The sequence below is a fragment of the Homo sapiens genome, chromosome 2 (assembly GCF_000001405.40).
Source record: "Homo sapiens chromosome 2, GRCh38.p14 Primary Assembly".
NCBI classification, from domain to species: domain Eukaryota; kingdom Metazoa; phylum Chordata; class Mammalia; order Primates; family Hominidae; genus Homo; species Homo sapiens.
The window spans coordinates 70,446,851-70,466,158 of record NC_000002.12 but is presented as its reverse complement, the minus strand read 5'-3'; the positions used below and the strand labels follow the sequence as shown (position 1 = coordinate 70,466,158).

At 47.7% G+C, this 19,308-nt stretch overlaps 1 protein-coding gene across 4 annotated transcripts in view, besides 1 other annotated feature; it reads left to right on the top strand.

Moving 5' to 3' along the window:
• TGFA (transforming growth factor alpha) overlaps positions 1 to 18,875 on the top strand; it is a 106,543-nt gene extending 87,668 nt beyond the window's left edge. For 2 of the 4 annotated variants that reach the window (NM_001099691.3, NM_001308159.2), the window contains exons 3-6: positions 426 to 543; positions 9,671 to 9,820; positions 12,832 to 12,941; positions 15,293 to 18,875. In NM_001099691.3, coding sequence (NP_001093161.1) covers positions 426 to 543; positions 9,671 to 9,820; positions 12,832 to 12,941; positions 15,293 to 15,300 — 386 coding nt within the window. In that variant the 3' untranslated portion in view covers positions 15,301 to 18,875. Of the gene's footprint in view, positions 1 to 422; positions 544 to 9,670; positions 9,821 to 12,831; positions 12,942 to 15,292 lie in introns of all 4 variants that reach the window. The other 2 variants (NM_003236.4, NM_001308158.2) reach the window with 1 other exon arrangement.
• Positions 9,723 to 10,223: an enhancer, noted in NCBI's record as "H3K4me1 hESC enhancer chr2:70683068-70683568 (GRCh37/hg19 assembly coordinates)". NCBI's record gives its function as "activates a minimal SCP1, AML or CMV promoter by ChIP-STARR-seq in naive H9 embryonic stem cells {active_cell/tissue: H9 hESC(naive)}" and the evidence as "EXISTENCE:reporter gene assay evidence [ECO:0000049][PMID:30033119]".

The following is a 19,308-nucleotide window of genomic DNA, read 5'->3' as shown; positions in this document are numbered from 1 at the left end:
TGCTTCTGCATCAATTTAATGGTTACAGAATATTCTTTTGTACCTTTCCATTCTCTTGCTTTCAAAACAGATTCTTATGACAGCTATCTAAAAAAAAATCACTGTCACTTTGCAAAAGTGAAATTAGGTAGCTCTTGTGTTGAAATAGTAAAATTGCTCTGTTGTCTTTGAATTACGTTAGTTTGAGGGGAAATTTGTTTTGCTGTCTACAAAAACAAAAAGCTGGAAAGCACGCTATACAGGAGCTCTAGGCCTGTCTTAGGCTTTAGAAAGTAAGTGAGAGCTGAGGAGGGTGTGCCCCAGGTGAGAACCCAAAGTCCCAGCCATCAGGGGCTCCACCTTCTTGACTGGTAGGGTGGGAGGTGTGGGGTTTGCATGTCAGCTGTTCCTGGATCTGAGCCCTGCATCTTTCCTCTCCCCAGCAGACCCGCCCGTGGCTGCAGCAGTGGTGTCCCATTTTAATGACTGCCCAGATTCCCACACTCAGTTCTGCTTCCATGGAACCTGCAGGTTTTTGGTGCAGGAGGACAAGCCAGCATGTGTGTAAGTATCCCCTGTTCTCCTGGAGATCTGGGGCTGGGGTCAGTCCAATATCCAATTAGAAGAGCATTTACCTCCATAAGACTTGCCAGAGGCTCCGAGACCCCTGGAGCCAGATGTGTCAGAGGATTGGAACAGTGGGGCTGAGGGACACCTTTTTCAAAACCAGATGTCTAAAAATCCAGGTTCCAAGGCCCCCAGCCCACAGCCACTGAGGCAGAACCCCGGGAAGTTCAAGCCTGGGGCCCTGCATTTTTAACAAGCATCTCAGGTCACTCATGGGTTTAGCAAAGTCTGAAAATTCTTGGATTCAAATTTAATTCACAACTTAGAATTTCTGGAGCACAAGGCACTGGGATGGATAACTTTGAGTGGCCAAAGTCTCTAAGATGTGGTCTCTGCCCTCTAGCATCTTCACAATCCAGCTCATAAAACAAGCCAGAAGTGCAGGTGAAGGGCTAGTGTACATAAATGGTAACAGAACCAGAAGCGACTTAGAAATAAAGATGCAGGACATGCATGGTGGTCTCCACACCTGGCTGAGCATCATCCTCCTTGGGGGGCTTCTCGAAGTATTACTGAACTCTGCTCTGACCTACGGAATCAGAATCTCCAGGAGTGGGACCTGGGAATCACATTAGTTCAGAGCCACAGCGACTGCCACAGTCAGCCAGGTTGGGGAAGAAATTCACTCGAAGAAAGCTTCCCAGAGCAGGTGTTAGGGTTAGACCAGTTAGGGGGAGTAGAGAGGTTGTTCCAGGCCTCACATGCTCAGGGGATCTGCTACTGCAGATCAGTGTGGCTACACCAGGGAGACAGAGAGGAGACCAGCTTAGAGACAAAGTGGAGGCCAGAGCCTGTTGAAAGCTGTCTTTATTCTTTAGGCAATGGAAGCCATGTGGGTTTCAGAAAGACATATTTAAAGACAATCAGTCTGTCTATAATAGAATACTATTAGGGGGACCTATATTGAACCTTGGCACTATTACATTTGGAGCTGGGTCATTCTGTTGTGGAAACTGACCTGTATACTGAAGGAAGTCAGCGGTATCCCTGGCCTCTATCTACTAGATGCCAATAGCACTACTATCCCTGGCCGTGCCAATCAAAAATATCTCCAGACATTGTCAAATGTCCTCTGCAGGGCAAAATTGCCCCCCAGTTAAGAGTCATGGATCCATATGAAATTGCCATTTTTGTAGGTAAAATATGGTTGAGGATTGGCAGTTTCATACTAATCATTAATAAAAACTGGCACCTATTAAGGTTTTGGCTTCATGTCAAGTACTGTTTGAAGTACAATCCGTGTGCTAACTCATTTAATCATACTGACCCCATGAAGAAGAAAGAGAGGCTATACCCAGCCCGCATAGCAGGGCCTGGACTCAAGCCAGCCTCTTTGGCTCCTGAAGCTGAGTTCTTAGCCATGATGCTTAAGGCCATCAGATGCATCAGCCCAGGAGCCTGGGGACCAGGAGAGCCTGCTGCAGTAGGCGGTGTGGTCAGGGCTTTCCTCTGTCTGAGGTGCAGCTGTGTGAGTCTGGGCAGGCCCCTCAGGGTGCCTCTGAGCCCTCACCTGGAGAGAAAGAAGGAGAGGCACACTGGCCACCCTCCTCCTCGGAACACCGCAGGGCTAAGAAACTCCTCCAGATGACAGGCCTCCACACCCTGTTAATACAAAGCACGATGATGATGATGATAGACACTGTCATTATTCATGATTATCATTCTTATTAATAATTAACATACTAGGGGCCCCTGGGGGACTGATGGGGTTGTTTTCATGAGTGCCCTGGTCATTGTGGAAAAACACTGGCCCTGAAGGAAGTTTGCCCTCTTGACCCAGATATCAGAAAGCTTCCCTGTACAACAGGCAGAAGGTACTCTCCCACCAGCCACGTCCAGGGCTCGGCCCAGAATCAAGCATACAGGGCCTCTTGTGCACTGGGCTATGAGTAGAGAGAATCCTCTTTGGAGAAAAAGGGCAGGTCTTTACCAAGTTCTGACCCAAAGTGAGTCAGAAGCTCAGTTTTTCTTCCTCAGGTGCCCTCCCCACCAGATCAGGGCTGGTGTAAATTTTCCAAGAGCTGGCAGCCAGGCAAGCCAAGCCACAGCCACCTGTGTGGCAGAAGAGCCCCCTCTTCAGCTGTTAGAAGCCTTCTGAACGCTGGGGTGGGTGACTGCTCTCCCATTCCCCTCAGTCCCAAGCCTTGCTCTTGGCCCAAGGGAACTGTCCATCACATTCACACACCCTTACACTTTGCTAATCAGGGTGATTGGCCATCTCTCCACATTCACATCATACACGTTACTATTAATAATAATAGTAAGTGCTCAATAAAAGCTTAGTTCATGGCAGGCATGGTACCCAGCACTCTGCATACCGCAACCATGGATCCCTCACAACTCCCCTCTCAAGTAGGGATTATTACCCTTGTTGTATAAGTGAGAAAGCTGGGGTTCAGAGAAGTTGAGCAACTTGCCCAGAGTCCCAGAGCTAGTAACCGGCAGAGGTGGAGTTCAGTCCCATCATTCCAGCACCAGAACCCATGCTCCCAGCTGCTGCCCAGAGGGTGCTGTGCCTCTGCTTGGCAAAATTCACCTCAAACCACTCAGCTCTTTTGCTTCCAGGCATTTTCCCCCTGCAAATTAACCCTCCTCCTGAGAAAGGCCAGGGTCATCCCCAAGCCCAGTTCCCTGACCACAAACTCTTAACAAGTTTTTCCTATGGGCCAAGTGCGGGGCTACAGAGACAGCTGAGACACACTCGCATTTGGAAAAGCTGACCATCTTGGGGGAGGCACGGCCATGCAAGCAATTACACCTCTTTACCTCAGTTTCCCCCCTGGATCTTGATGGCCCAGGGACAGTATTCAGTCTGCAGAAATGCTTTACATGGCAACACATAGTGAGCCACGCTGTTCTTAGATGGCTTTAATCAGTTGTCAGCATTTTAGAAGGGAGATTTCACATTTCCATGCAGACATCCAGCTCCTCTTGAATAAGCAGAATGGCAACACCGGGCCTGAACTTCCAAACACAGCCCCTCAGCTCGGACTCACTCAGGTGTGCCGCCCCAGATAGGGCTCGCGCTCTCCAGCCCTTCATTCTCCACCTCTCCCCAAAATTCCCGACAGCAACATGACACTGGTCCCTGGTCACCTGTTGCCCTGCTGCTCTGCTTACACTAGGCCACTTGGCTCACTTTGCCATCCGTGGGACCCCTTGGGGCTTGCATGTGTTCAGCCCTGGGACAGGGTCCTCTGCAGACCCCTCTGACGGCACTCCTTACCCCCTGATGGCTTGTGAGCTCTGGGAAGACAGAACCACACCTTATCCCTTTTTGTATTTACAGTACCCAAAAGAATGTTCTAATTAATGAATTCCCACTAGACCAGAAACTCTTGAGTGCATGCAGAGAAAGTAGAACACTCTGTCCCTGCTCCTGTGACTTGCCCGGCCCTGGGAAGCTGACACACACATCCTGGTCAATAAGCCTGACATACCCTGAGGTCAGGCCCCATCTATCATGGCCTCATCAAGCAAACCCACAGGGAGCCAGGATTCTAGTCTCGAGAGAGGGAGCACTTTCTAAAATATCGTAAGTCTTAAACTCCATCCTCCATAAGAACAACAGTCTTTAGGTTTCCAGAGAACCTAAAATGACATCTCACGCTATAAAATGAAGGAAAGAAAAAAAAGTTTAAACAAATAACTAGTCACAGACTGCCAAAGGTGGTGAAAACTAGCCTTACATATTTATGCTTCAAGTGAACCCTAGATGGTATTTTACAGCTCCCTTTAATAAATCCCCTAGTCCCAACCACATCAGAAAACTAATGGGAAGAGAATTTGCAAAGACAGTAAAGCTATAGAAATGCAAGGTTAGGACTCTCACCACTTTTTCCCCGAGGCAGATTCCCCACACCATTGGTCTGCTGCCTGCAGAAGCCTTCAAACAAAGGAAAACCGTTGAAGGAAGACACCCAGGTGACAAGTTTACCCCTGGCAACCAGTTTGAAGTTTCTCACCTGTCCCAAATGCTCCTCGGTGACCCAACTCCCTGACAACTTTCCCACAGCAAAGTATGAAAGCAAATTCCTGTCAGCCAAGGGAAACATTCCACCTGGCCCTGGCCACAGACCCTTCCAGTGGAATCTGAACAGAGTTAAACACCCGAAGAGACCTGACCACCATCAGTTCATAACTGGCTGCCTGTGTGACCAAGGTGGCGCCTCCCCAGAGATTAGGATTGGGGGCAGTTTTCTTGTTGGTACTCGAGCCCCCTTACATAGATCCATCAGCAGGTGGTGGGGGTAGGGTTAAGAAGGATGACATCACTGCCATCCACAGGTCTGGAGAAAGTGCAGGTCCTCCCAGAGTGGGGGTCACACACCAGGCAGGAGGACAGCACAGTTAAAGGCATGGATGGGAGGTCAGGCAGACCGAGGTAAAGTCCAGCTGAGTCTCCCATACAAGTGACTTGGCCCCTTTAAGCCTCTGTTTCTTTGTGCACAAAATGAGGATACTAATACTTCATAGGATTGTAATGGGGACCCAGGGATGATAATATATAGAGAGCAATTGCTGCCTATGACAAGAGCCACTGGACTCTTAAGTAGTGGGACTACTTAAATTAATTGATTAAAATTTAGTTTCTCAGTCTCACTAGCCACATTTTAAGGATGTAATACCTCAGGGTAGCTAGTGGCTACTGTATTCATCTGCCCAGATATAGACTCTGTCATGATCACGGGAAGTTCTATTAGACAGCACTGGAGAACATTCAAGCCCAGTTCCCAGCACAGCATATGAGCTCAAGTGTTTGCTATTGTGGCCGCTGTTGGCACCATCACCACAGCCAAGGGATGTTGTGAGGTCCTGCTGGAAGGAGTATGTAAGTAGGGCTGACCATACTCCAGCCCTCTCCCCACCAGCCCCCAGAGCACAGAGGTTATAGGACTTGGTGAATCTGGTTCTTGAAAGGCTGAGAATGTGTGAGCCCAATACACGTGCCCTTGGTCCTAGTGCACCCACTGTCTCATAGCCCTGTGGAATGTGCAGCCAGGTGAGAACCAACGCCTACCTGAGGCAAAGGAGAGAACAGCAGCTGGATCAAGTGTGATTCATTTGCAGCCAGGTGAGGTGACTCTTCCCACTCCTTCTGTGACTTGTGCCTAAAATAATCAGCATAATTAAGTCTAATATTAGTAGAAGCTTGGGAAGTTTTTTTTTTAAAAAAAGTATGTCACCAAACCTTTTTCTTTTTCCGTCATAAAGAGCAGCTGAGAAGCATTTCCATTATTACAACTAGGAAGAGAAAGGATCGCCCTCCCCTGCCCACTGGAATCAGCTAGGAGCTTTAAAAATCTTGATGCCCAGGACTGACTCCCAGAGATTCTGATTTAATTGATCTAAAGGTGTGGCCTGGACATCAGGATTTTTGAAAGCTCTGCATGCAATTTCAATAGGCAGCCACAGTTGAGAAACGTTGGTTTCTCTGTTAAAAACTTCATGGTGGCTCTCAACTCTGGCAGTGTCAGAATTACCTTTTGGCCCTTTCTTTAAAATGCCCAGGCCCCATTTGCAGAGAGATTTTGATTGGGGAGGTCCCAACTGTAGGTGAGACCCACTGGGCTGCTTGGGGCTAAGACGCACTGTTCTTGGAGCTCTTCTAGGTCATGACCTGGAGTCCCAATGATGAGGCAGTTACCCAGGTGCCTCCCACCTTGGGGAAGTGTTCGCTCAGAAGCATGTTGGGTTCCCTCACTGTGTGGGACTGGGAGTTGAGCGTTTGCAGCTATTAACACTAGAGTGATAGGCATTCTTGTTGGCATGAAGACTTTCCTAAGGGGCTGGGGCTCCTGCTGGGGCGGTTTTAAAGCAGAGCTGATTTGCAGGGGCCAGCATGCATGAATGGCAAATGTTCCTCTGGTAGAAAAAGCATGGAAAGTCAGCAAGGTGTGTCCCAGCCCAGGGGGTTATCTCCCTTGGTGCATTAAGACGGCACTGTCTGGGGGCACCTTTGCCCCTTGCCACACTGAGCAAGGAGACCTCGCTCCAGGACAATCAGTAGCCCATCTCTTGTGCCTGATCAGATTTGTGTTTGTCACTAAATCACTAGCCCAGGGTATCTTCCAAACCAGTCTGCATTAACCCAGAAAGGTAGCCTTACTGGGTGAGATTGTTAGTTCCCAAACCTCTAGAAGCTTTTGTTTCTTCATCTGTCAAACAAGGTAAATAATAGTCGCAACCTCACAGGTCAGTTGTGATTGCTGGGATTAAAAGAGATGATTCATGTAGGAGTTTAGCCTAATGCTTGCAGTGAATGTTATGTGTTGTAATTAGCACTTGGCTGCCACTATTTTATTTAAATGAAATGTATTGGGGTCTCCAGTATTGATGTGTTAAATCGCAGTGTTTTTAGTGCCAAATAATAGGTGAGGTGCTAGAATCCCTCTTTCCCAGGGCCTGCTGGTTGAAGTAGAAACGTTTCAAGCTGTGTGAAATTGTCATGGGTTGCTCACCTTCCTATACGCTGAGACTTTCACAAAAGACTCTGCAAATCCTCATTATGGTACCTTTCCCCGGGAGAAAGAAGCACTAACCCTAACCCTAACCCTTTGCATAGAAGTCTCATTGGCTTGTCCACAACTCCTGGTTACAAATCTGATAATCCATTCCAAAGCCCAGGCTCCCCGGCCCCATTCTGTTCAGTGGTTCACCGGAGGTTTCTGTAGAGCTAAGCCCTGCCCTGCAAGAGCAAGAAGGCTGGGACCAGAAGTGAAGCTGGTCAGAGAAGAGCAGTCAGAAAGGTGGGCATAGTCCTGGGGGGTTCAGGGAGGAGAGGTTAGGGAGATCCAAGTGAGCTATGGAAGAATGGATGGATGGATGACAAAAATGAACGTAAACGAGTCTGTAAATTACATCCTTCTGGAGAATGTGGTCCTTGGGATGGAGCCTGAGGAGGAGAGTGAGGAATGATATTCCAGGTGGAAAAGGTAGCCGGAGTTGAGATGCACAATGGAGGGTAGTTGTTCATTCATTCTGCAGGTGTGTCCTGAGTCCCCACATGCTGGGAACTGTGCTAGGTGCAGTGTGTGGATTTAACACTGGGCTGGGGGTGGGGAGTGGCAACAACTTGGATTGGCTGGAACCTAGGTGGGTGGGAGATAAAGTACAGGGGTGGATTAGGGCCCTGCAGGAGAGAGGGCTAGATATCACAGAGGAAGTGCACGATTCAGGGACCCCATCTGGAAGGTTGGAGAGCCATCTGGGTGCAGGAGAGGAGGAGCTAGAGGGAGGGACCCTTTGCAGGATTTTCTTGAGATATGGATGGCTTAGATTTATGCACTGCCTAAGCCTGTTGCTTATCACCTCTCAGCCTGGAGTCTAGCCCACTCTTCGCCTCCGCCTCATAGGAAAGGGCCAGTGCCTGCAGGGAGAGCTGTTTCTTGACCTTTGCCTTTATGTAATTTTGTTATTAAAATCAAAGCAAGCAAACAAACAAAAAAAACCCTGCCCCTGTCCCATAGCCCCTGAGCCGTTGAAAGTCAGTGTTCTTATTCAGAGTTCTGTGATCCCCTCTCAGTGTGCCTAGTCTTCAAGGGCCTTTTAATCTAAAAGCGAAGGTTAGAGGCTAGCTAATTAATCAAAAGATAAACTCTTTAGAAAAGTTTAGCTATCACTGCCATGTCTGGGGGAAAAACAAAACTAAACAAAACTTTAAATCTAGCATATGATATGGGGCTGCTCTGTTAAGAAGTCCTCACCAGCAGGCCGGGCACTGTGATTCACGCCTATAATCCCAGCACTTTGGGAGGCCGAGGTGGGTGGATCACCTGAGGTCAAGAGCTCGAGACCAGCGTGGCCAACATGGTGAAACCCCGTCTCTACTAAAAATACAAAAATTAGCCAGGCATGGTGGCATGTGCCTGTAATCCCAGCTACTCGGGAGGCTGAGGCAGGAGAACCACTTGAACTCAGGAGACGGAGGTTGCAGTGAGCCGAGATCCCGCCACTGCACTCCAGGCTGGGCACAAGAGTGAGACTCCATCTCAAAAAAAAAAAAAAGAAGTCCCGCCTGGCAAAGGAAGTGGCGATCTTAGATTTCTATTGACGATAAGAATGTTACTCTATACAAAGGGAGTAACGAAGTAACAAAGGGACCAGTGTCTAAGCTAAGTATCTTTTATTAAGAAGAATCACATGCTTGGGGGATTAGTGGCTCAGGGTGAGGGGATGCCTGTAAAAGAAAATGACCATCCCATCCTTATGGCCAGGGCACATCCCGAAGCACTTTTGAGACCCATCTGGGCATAGCAGGGGGCCGTGATTGAAAGATTAATACCAAAGAACCTCTGAATGACTCGCCCTCCCCTGCCCACTGGAATCAGCTGGGAGCTTTAAAAATCTTGATGCCCAGGACTGACTCTGAATGGTAGCAATACCAGGAATTACATCACCTGGTATTAGCACCACACTGTACAGGCTACACGCACATTCAGACACGACCTTGCTTGTGCCTTTACTAAGCCTGGGTGGAGGTGGGCCAGGTATTGATGGATAGGAGGACACCAGAGTTCACAGGAGAGTAGTGATTTCTCCAGTCCTACAATGACCAGGTAGTCATGCTGAGTAACCTGGTAAATACTTGAAGAACTAACTAAACTTGAAGAAGATAAAAAGGCAAACCACAAGCCAATGTCTCCACTGGTTTCAGGTGTTTTCTTTCTCATCACCAGAAAGTCTGAAAACCACATTTGGTTTAAAACTAACCTGGATTTTTTATGAACTGCCAACATGAGGCTTATGTCATGAACACATGTGCTGCCTTTATTCCTCCAGGATTTGGCACAGTCACAATAGTCATGGATTGCTTCAGCCGTAGCTTGCCTCCGCAGATGATAAGGATGATTAGATTCCCCTTCCCTTCTCCACATAAGCAGCGGTGCCTGCGACAGGGAAACAGGCATTTTGCTGACACCTTTCCCTCCAATTGCAAAAGCTGGCAGGGCCCCTTTGGGCTTTACCTGCAGGCTCTGGGTCCCTCCAGGAAAGCCCTCCCTGGAGAGCTAGGGTAACAAGACCTTTTGTCAGGAGAGTGCACTGACGTTCCTTTCTTCCCCAGCTGCCATTCTGGGTACGTTGGTGCACGCTGTGAGCATGCGGACCTCCTGGCCGTGGTGGCTGCCAGCCAGAAGAAGCAGGCCATCACCGCCTTGGTGGTGGTCTCCATCGTGGCCCTGGCTGTCCTTATCATCACATGTGTGCTGATACAGTGAGTACTTGCTGCCCCTAAGGCCAGGTCCCCTGCCCACCTCCCCTACCAGGGACATCCGCAGTATATCCAGATAACAGGGCCACCTCAGCACAGCTTATTTCTGGGATGTCTGAGTGCTGTCAGGAAAGCTAAATGCTACTTTGATGACTGTTGGCATGGCGTGGCAGCCAAGCTGCATGAAAGCCTCATGCATCCTGGGCGGATCCCCAGCTGGGGGGTTGGTGCACTGTGGAGGCCAGTGCAGAACCAAAGGCATGCTCGTTCTTTCCACGGTTGTTGGAGTCTTCAGAATAGTGATGACATGGGCAGGTGCTCCAGAGAGGACTAGAGACAGCTCCTAGCCTCCTTCCATCAGCACCAGAAGTACTTCCTCTCTGCAGAAGTCACTTTGCAAATACATGTCGAGGGCCATTGTTGCTGTTACAGGCTGATGACCATCATTCTGCACAGCCCTTCCTCTTTGTCCACTTCTCTGCCCCTCCTCATCCTCCAAAACTCAGTTGCTGTGTTGTATCTTCCAGGAAGCCTCCCTGGGGCCTAGACCAGGAGAGACCTTTTCAGGTGTGTCCTGGCCCCATTTGCTTGCCCACATCTCCTGACTGGACTGCTGTGCAGGGTCAGAGACCCTGGGAATACAGTGCAATATTCCTAGCATTTGGAACTATGCCAGATTTATTCCCTGGAAATATCTAAAGTCTGAGTCTTAGGGGATTTATTAGGTTGGTGCAAAAGTAATTGCAGTTTTCACCATTACTTTTTAAGGCCAAAACCACAATTACTTTTGCACCAACCTAATATACCTAATTGGATATGCACAAAGAAGTCACAGGACAGTTAAAGGCTGCCATTCAATTCAGTGTAGGTTAACTCATGGTGGAGACAGTCAGTGGATGGGCCCCTCTGGCAAGGTTGTGGTCAGTAGCTACATGTCGATGCAAGAAGCCAGACTTACACCCTCCAAGGTTGCCTAAGATTTGGACAGATAAACAAACTGTCCCTTTGGTTTGTGGCTATTGAGACATCTGAAACACATGGCCCTGGTTCTGGTAACAGTGAGGCACCCGTTAGAGCCCCAGCTTGTTGACAGTAGCCACAACCTGCTCACATCCTTCTCCTGGACCAAGGCAGCACTGAGTGGTGAGGTTTGAGGTCTGAGCTGGGCTGGCCTTTCCCTCCCCACCAAGCAGTATCCATTCTGCTTCCAGGGGCCTTGGAAAAACATGTTTGCTGGGAGAAGACAAGTAGCTCTGGTTCAGACTGGGCCACAGCCCAGGCTCTGTCACTCAGAAGGGCCCTCCTCGAGGAGCAGGAGCAAGCTAGTGGGCTGCCAGCCTTGCTTCTCATGGCCAGTAGCTGTGTGTGCTGCCCCATCCTTCCATTGTCCTGTGTCTATGGCCAGGAGGGTCACAGGGACTTAGGAACAAGACTGGTGGCCCACACAGGCCTCCCCAGAGGGACCTAAGAGCTAATTTTGGCAGATTGTCTGGAAACAGGAATGATCTAGGTGCCTAGACAGCATCTCTCATTTCCAGGGAGGCGGCCAGTCCCAACTCCTGTGTCCCTTCCCAGCCTTGGTCTCCCTGCCAGAGACCAAGTTCAGAATCCATGAGCCAGAGACTAAGCTCTCACTCCTGCCAGGCTGCTGGCTTCCTGGGCTTAGGGCCCTCCTGAGTTGCAGGGTCCAAGTTGGGACCAGCTTGTCCCATGCTGGAGGGATCTAGAGGCCTTGATCCCATTGCCCGGGGATGCTCCTATCTGGGAAGTGACAAGGACAAGTCCACCTGGCTGGCTGACTGTGAGAAAGTAGTCATTGATGGCTCTGGAACCAAGGCCTTTAGAGCCCCCTGGCATGGGATGTACTGTTTCCAGCCCAGACTCTGCAACTCAGAAGGGCCTCGTGCCCAGGCACACTGCTCTGGGCTCCCGGTTTTCACCTGTAACATAAGCAGCTTGGGCAGGAAGGTCTCAGAGCCTCCTCCTTAGCCCTGCTGTCCAAAGATTCAGGGGCTCCAGTAACCTTTGCAGCTTCTCACTGCAGGACAGTGCCAAGACAGGGGCTGGGATGGGAATCGTGAAATGCCCACCAGATACCAAGAGAGAAGCCCAGCAACAGGCTTATTTCTTCATCTCTGCCACCTGGCTCACCTTAGGAAATTTCTCCTAACTCCAACCCTAGCCCAGGGATACATAAATTATATACGAATTAGGGTTAGAATGAGTGGAAACAAAGTTCTCCACGATAGCCCAAGGGAAATGGCTGGTAGCGTCTGTGGGGAACTCATCTCTCACTCAGTGCTTTCTTTTCTGTTCTTTTGGGGCTTTTTTTTTTTCATGCAAAGTCTGAAAACTCTCCATTCCTGCCCACAGAGGGAGGCAGGAGCCTTTATAACCCTGATGCCTCAGGACTCCGGGTCACACAGGTTTACAGAGAGGGTAGATGTTCCAAAACTAGAGAATTTTAGTCCTGAAAGCAGGATTCAAAGCCATTGAGATCCATAACTCATTCTTCCATTTTTTTCCATGGGTCAATTCAGCCATCCAAGTTCCTTGTTCTGCTACTGGCAATACCAGATGAATAACCTCTTCCTAAACCCTCACAGCCCTGCCAGCTGGAGGTGGCCACTTTATCCCAGTCCTTTGTCCCAATTCTGAGGCCATTACACTTGTGGAATTACCCACCTGGTTCTTTATCAAGAAAGCCGAGTGGAGGACCAGTTCTCTCTGACAGCTGGGGAAGCTGGAGCCAGGTCAGCTTGCAGAAACAGAGCAAATACTTTAGGGTAGCCAACAGATGCTTTTGTTGTTGGCCAGCATCTGCCCCAAAAAACCACTGCCCTACAATGCCCTCAGCCCCCTATGGTGCCTGTCCCTCTAGAAGCCCCCATGGGGAGCTGGTTTGGAGCTGGTTTAGAGCTGGAGCTGCCCAGCAGGCCCCTAGGGCAGATGCTGTACCACCCTGGCCCTCCTACCAGGCTCCTGCCCAGACTGGGTCCTCTGTGTCTTTGCAGCTGCTGCCAGGTCCGAAAACACTGTGAGTGGTGCCGGGCCCTCATCTGCCGGCACGAGAAGCCCAGCGCCCTCCTGAAGGGAAGAACCGCTTGCTGCCACTCAGAAACAGGTAAGGAGACTCTTCTCTGGTGGGAGACACTATTGGGTGGAGAAAACGACCACCTTCTCCAAGTCAGGGCAGAAGTTCCTGGAGTATGAAGCAGGAAGAGAGGAGAAAAGGAAGAGACTGTTTCATTCTACCAAGTCAGGTTTAGTTTATTCATAGGTGCCTTTTACTTAGTAGGGACCCCTTACATCCTGGCTGGTGGCTGTGGGACCTTTGACAAGTTACTCACCTCTCACAGCCTCAGAGTTTTTTTGTTTTGTTGTTTTGTTTTGTTTTTTGAGACGGAGTCTTACTCTATCACCCAGGCTGGAGTGCAATGGCGTGATCTCGGCTCACTGCAATCTCCACCTCCCAGTTTCAAGTGATTCTCCTGCCTCAGCCTCTCGAGTAGCTGGGATTACAGGCTGCCCACCACCACGCCCAGAAAATTTTTGTATTTTTAGTAGAGACGGGGTTTCGCAGTATTGGCCAGGCTGGTCTCAAACTCCTGACCTCAGGTGATCTGCCTGCCTCGGCCTCCCAAAGTGCTGGGATTACAGGCATGAGCCACTGTGCCCGGCTTACCCTCGGTTTTCTTATTCTTAAAAAGATGTGCAAATTGGAGGAGTACTGATATAAAATACCTAGTATAGTGTATCACCCAATTGTAGGCACTCAAGAGATGTTCATTCTCTTTCCCTTGAGAAAGTCACTTCCCCTTTTTCATCTGTAAAAGGAGGAATTTGGCCTATGAAAGGTCTCTAATGACCTTAAAACCCTTAGATCCTATGATCTTCATTAAGTTTACCTTGTTTCCTGGATATTTTCGCCAACATCCATGAAGACATCAGGATGTGGGGCCCAGCTTGCACCTCAGGAGCCTCCTCGGAGCATCAGTGGCTCTGTGCTTGTGGAGGTGAAGAGTCCTTCATCCAAACAGGGCTGGAAAAGTCTCACACCGGCCAGCTTTTCAGGGATTCAATTTTGACCAAGAGAGCCCATCGTAAAGTTCTTCTTGAGGACATAGTGGGTCAAGAGACAGTCATTAAAGCGAATCCACCCAGAGGTGTCCTTCCCTAGTAAACAGTTGGCGTTCAGAAGTTCCAGGGTCCATGGAGAGGGTAGGGAGGAAGGCTTCTGGGAGGCTGGACACATGTGCATTCATTAGAGCTCATGGTCATCTGGAGGGAGCTGAAGCCCCAAGAACATATGTGTTTGTTCTTTATTTCAATAACCATAGTCATCGTGCACAGTAAGGGAGCACACAGAGAGTGCGGGAGCGGCACTTGAGATTTAGGAGCCACAGCTCTTGAGGATGCAAATCCATTCAGCCTTACAGTGGTCTTAGGAAGAGGATGGCTCATGAGCGATGTGGGTAAACTGAGTCTGATGACAGCCTGCTTGGGTCCCACTGGGAATCAGTGGGGGAGTGAGGATGAGAACCAGGGCCTCTAAAGCCCCCTCTCAACATCTCCTTTCAGCTACCTTGGGCTAATCTATTGAGCTAATGAAGGTAAATATTTTTATTTTTTCTTTTAGCACCAATAGAAAAATGTTTTTAATCTTTTAAGAAAATTTGTAATAGATTCTGTAGCATTTGTCTGAACCTAACAGAGTCATTTGGGGTGGAGTAAGTTTCTTGTTAATGTCACTTCTTCTCTACCCACATTTAAGAAGTTAGCTCTAAGCCTGGGGATGGGTCTGGCCTTTAGAGATGGCAACCTGGGCTGAAGTCCCTCTCCCTCAGATGGTGCATATCACAACCTCATATAGCACCTGTCAGGCCTGCTGGGCCTAAAGGATGGGTGAACCAGTGGTACTCACCTGTGAGCACCTCTAGAAGAACCATGGCAAGGACCTAGAGACATGTCCAGGCTAAGCTGAACTCAGGAACTGAGGACGGTCCATGCTGCCTCACCACGACAGACACAGAGGATACCCTCAGGGCCCAGCCATTGAAAAATAAATGGGTCCATTCTTGTATGGCCTCAGGGGAAGCCTTTCTGCCACCAGAGCCCTGGACTAGGGCTGCCCACCAAGCCACCCCTTACAGGATCTGACTGCAGGCCAGATTAAAATGAGACCCTCACAACAGGGGGCATCCCCCCGCTCCCCCCCATCTGCCTTCCTTCTGCTATCACTCACTCACTCACTCACTTTCAATCAGTCTCTCTAGCTTCCTTTGGCACTGAAAGTACTAGGTCAGAGGTTGCGGTCCCTGAGACTGAACCAGCAGAATTTGGACTCGGGCCTAACTGCCCGAGAGAACTTGGTGACATTGGCTCTGCCATCTCCAAGTCTCTTTCCTAAGCTTATTTTCCCAACGTGGCCAGGGTGTGGCCCACAGTGCTTAACCTGTTTTTCCTTCCTGCCAGTGGTCTGAAGAGCCCAGAGGAGGAGTTTGGCCAGGTGGACTGTGGCAGATCAATAAAGAAAGGCTTCTTCAGGACAGCACTGCCAGAGATGCCTGGGTGTGCCACAGACCTTCCTACTTGGCCTGTAATCACCTGTGCAGCCTTTTGTGGGCCTTCAAAACTCTGTCAAGAACTCCGTCTGCTTGGGGTTATTCAGTGTGACCTAGAGAAGAAATCAGCGGACCACGATTTCAAGACTTGTTAAAAAAGAACTGCAAAGAGACGGACTCCTGTTCACCTAGGTGAGGTGTGTGCAGCAGTTGGTGTCTGAGTCCACATGTGTGCAGTTGTCTTCTGCCAGCCATGGATTCCAGGCTATATATTTCTTTTTAATGGGCCACCTCCCCACAACAGAATTCTGCCCAACACAGGAGATTTCTATAGTTATTGTTTTCTGTCATTTGCCTACTGGGGAAGAAAGTGAAGGAGGGGAAACTGTTTAATATCACATGAAGACCCTAGCTTTAAGAGAAGCTGTATCCTCTAACCACGAGACCCTCAACCAGCCCAACATCTTCCATGGACACATGACATTGAAGACCATCCCAAGCTATCGCCACCCTTGGAGATGATGTCTTATTTATTAGATGGATAATGGTTTTATTTTTAATCTCTTAAGTCAATGTAAAAAGTATAAAACCCCTTCAGACTTCTACATTAATGATGTATGTGTTGCTGACTGAAAAGCTATACTGATTAGAAATGTCTGGCCTCTTCAAGACAGCTAAGGCTTGGGAAAAGTCTTCCAGGGTGCGGAGATGGAACCAGAGGCTGGGTTACTGGTAGGAATAAAGGTAGGGGTTCAGAAATGGTGCCATTGAAGCCACAAAGCCGGTAAATGCCTCAATACGTTCTGGGAGAAAACTTAGCAAATCCATCAGCAGGGATCTGTCCCCTCTGTTGGGGAGAGAGGAAGAGTGTGTGTGTCTACACAGGATAAACCCAATACATATTGTACTGCTCAGTGATTAAATGGGTTCACTTCCTCGTGAGCCCTCGGTAAGTATGTTTAGAAATAGAACATTAGCCACGAGCCATAGGCATTTCAGGCCAAATCCATGAAAGGGGGACCAGTCATTTATTTTCCATTTTGTTGCTTGGTTGGTTTGTTGCTTTATTTTTAAAAGGAGAAGTTTAACTTTGCTATTTATTTTCGAGCACTAGGAAAACTATTCCAGTAATTTTTTTTTCCTCATTTCCATTCAGGATGCCGGCTTTATTAACAAAAACTCTAACAAGTCACCTCCACTATGTGGGTCTTCCTTTCCCCTCAAGAGAAGGAGCAATTGTTCCCCTGAGCATCTGGGTCCATCTGACCCATGGGGCCTGCCTGTGAGAAACAGTGGGTCCCTTCAAATACATAGTGGATAGCTCATCCCTAGGAATTTTCATTAAAATTTGGAAACAGAGTAATGAAGAAATAATATATAAACTCCTTATGTGAGGAAATGCTACTAATATCTGAAAAGTGAAAGATTTCTATGTATTAACTCTTAAGTGCACCTAGCTTATTACATCGTGAAAGGTACATTTAAAATATGTTAAATTGGCTTGAAATTTTCAGAGAATTTTGTCTTCCCCTAATTCTTCTTCCTTGGTCTGGAAGAACAATTTCTATGAATTTTCTCTTTATTTTTTTTTATAATTCAGACAATTCTATGACCCGTGTCTTCATTTTTGGCACTCTTATTTAACAATGCCACACCTGAAGCACTTGGATCTGTTCAGAGCTGACCCCCTAGCAACGTAGTTGACACAGCTCCAGGTTTTTAAATTACTAAAATAAGTTCAAGTTTACATCCCTTGGGCCAGATATGTGGGTTGAGGCTTGACTGTAGCATCCTGCTTAGAGACCAATCAACGGACACTGGTTTTTAGACCTCTATCAATCAGTAGTTAGCATCCAAGAGACTTTGCAGAGGCGTAGGAATGAGGCTGGACAGATGGCGGAAGCAGAGGTTCCCTGCGAAGACTTGAGATTTAGTGTCTGTGAATGTTCTAGTTCCTAGGTCCAGCAAGTCACACCTGCCAGTGCCCTCATCCTTATGCCTGTAACACACATGCAGTGAGAGGCCTCACATATACGCCTCCCTAGAAGTGCCTTCCAAGTCAGTCCTTTGGAAACCAGCAGGTCTGAAAAAGAGGCTGCATCAATGCAAGCCTGGTTGGACCATTGTCCATGCCTCAGGATAGAACAGCCTGGCTTATTTGGGGATTTTTCTTCTAGAAATCAAATGACTGATAAGCATTGGATCCCTCTGCCATTTAATGGCAATGGTAGTCTTTGGTTAGCTGCAAAAATACTCCATTTCAAGTTAAAAATGCATCTTCTAATCCATCTCTGCAAGCTCCCTGTGTTTCCTTGCCCTTTAGAAAATGAATTGTTCACTACAATTAGAGAATCATTTAACATCCTGACCTGGTAAGCTGCCACACACCTGGCAGTGGGGAGCATCGCTGTTTCCAATGGCTCAGGAGACAATGAAAAGCCCCCATTTAAAAAAATAACAAACATTTTTTAAAAGGCCTCCAATACTCTTATGGAGCCTGGATTTTTCCCACTGCTCTACAGGCTGTGACTTTTTTTAAGCATCCTGACAGGAAATGTTTTCTTCTACATGGAAAGATAGACAGCAGCCAACCCTGATCTGGAAGACAGGGCCCCGGCTGGACACACGTGGAACCAAGCCAGGGATGGGCTGGCCATTGTGTCCCCGCAGGAGAGATGGGCAGAATGGCCCTAGAGTTCTTTTCCCTGAGAAAGGAGAAAAAGATGGGATTGCCACTCACCCACCCACACTGGTAAGGGAGGAGAATTTGTGCTTCTGGAGCTTCTCAAGGGATTGTGTTTTGCAGGTACAGAAAACTGCCTGTTATCTTCAAGCCAGGTTTTCGAGGGCACATGGGTCACCAGTTGCTTTTTCAGTCAATTTGGCCGGGATGGACTAATGAGGCTCTAACACTGCTCAGGAGACCCCTGCCCTCTAGTTGGTTCTGGGCTTTGATCTCTTCCAACCTGCCCAGTCACAGAAGGAGGAATGACTCAAATGCCCAAAACCAAGAACACATTGCAGAAGTAAGACAAACATGTATATTTTTAAATGTTCTAACATAAGACCTGTTCTCTCTAGCCATTGATTTACCAGGCTTTCTGAAAGATCTAGTGGTTCACACAGAGAGAGAGAGAGTACTGAAAAAGCAACTCCTCTTCTTAGTCTTAATAATTTACTAAAATGGTCAACTTTTCATTATCTTTATTATAATAAACCTGATGCTTTTTTTTAGAACTCCTTACTCTGATGTCTGTATATGTTGCACTGAAAAGGTTAATATTTAATGTTTTAATTTATTTTGTGTGGTAAGTTAATTTTGATTTCTGTAATGTGTTAATGTGATTAGCAGTTATTTTCCTTAATATCTGAATTATACTTAAAGAGTAGTGAGCAATATAAGACGCAATTGTGTTTTTCAGTAATGTGCATTGTTATTGAGTTGTACTGTACCTTATTTGGAAGGATGAAGGAATGAATCTTTTTTTCCTAAATCAAGACTGGAGTGTTTCTTTAATGAGATTAGGATATTGCTCAAGGAAATGAAGACTTTTCTCTGCAAATATGAATGATGAGGAAAAATTAGATGATCTTTTGCAAAATGTGGAAATCCTATAATTAACCATAGTTGATCCCTGTCTCCTTGAAGAATTCAAGTTCTCTGAAGCTCTTCCCAGTGTATAAGTACTTAGTAGACTATGTGTCCAATAATGCTAATTGATGTGGTAGAAAATATATACAACCTCTGCCACTGCAGGAATTGAAATCTGGTCGAGAAGACAGACTGATACGCTAAGAATAATTCAGGACTATTTCTAGACAATACAAATAAGAGATGAAATTATAAGGTAGAGCATATATGTTAACAGCTGTGGTTCTCAAAGCATGGTTCCAGACCTGCAGCATTGGTATAACCTGTGAACTTGT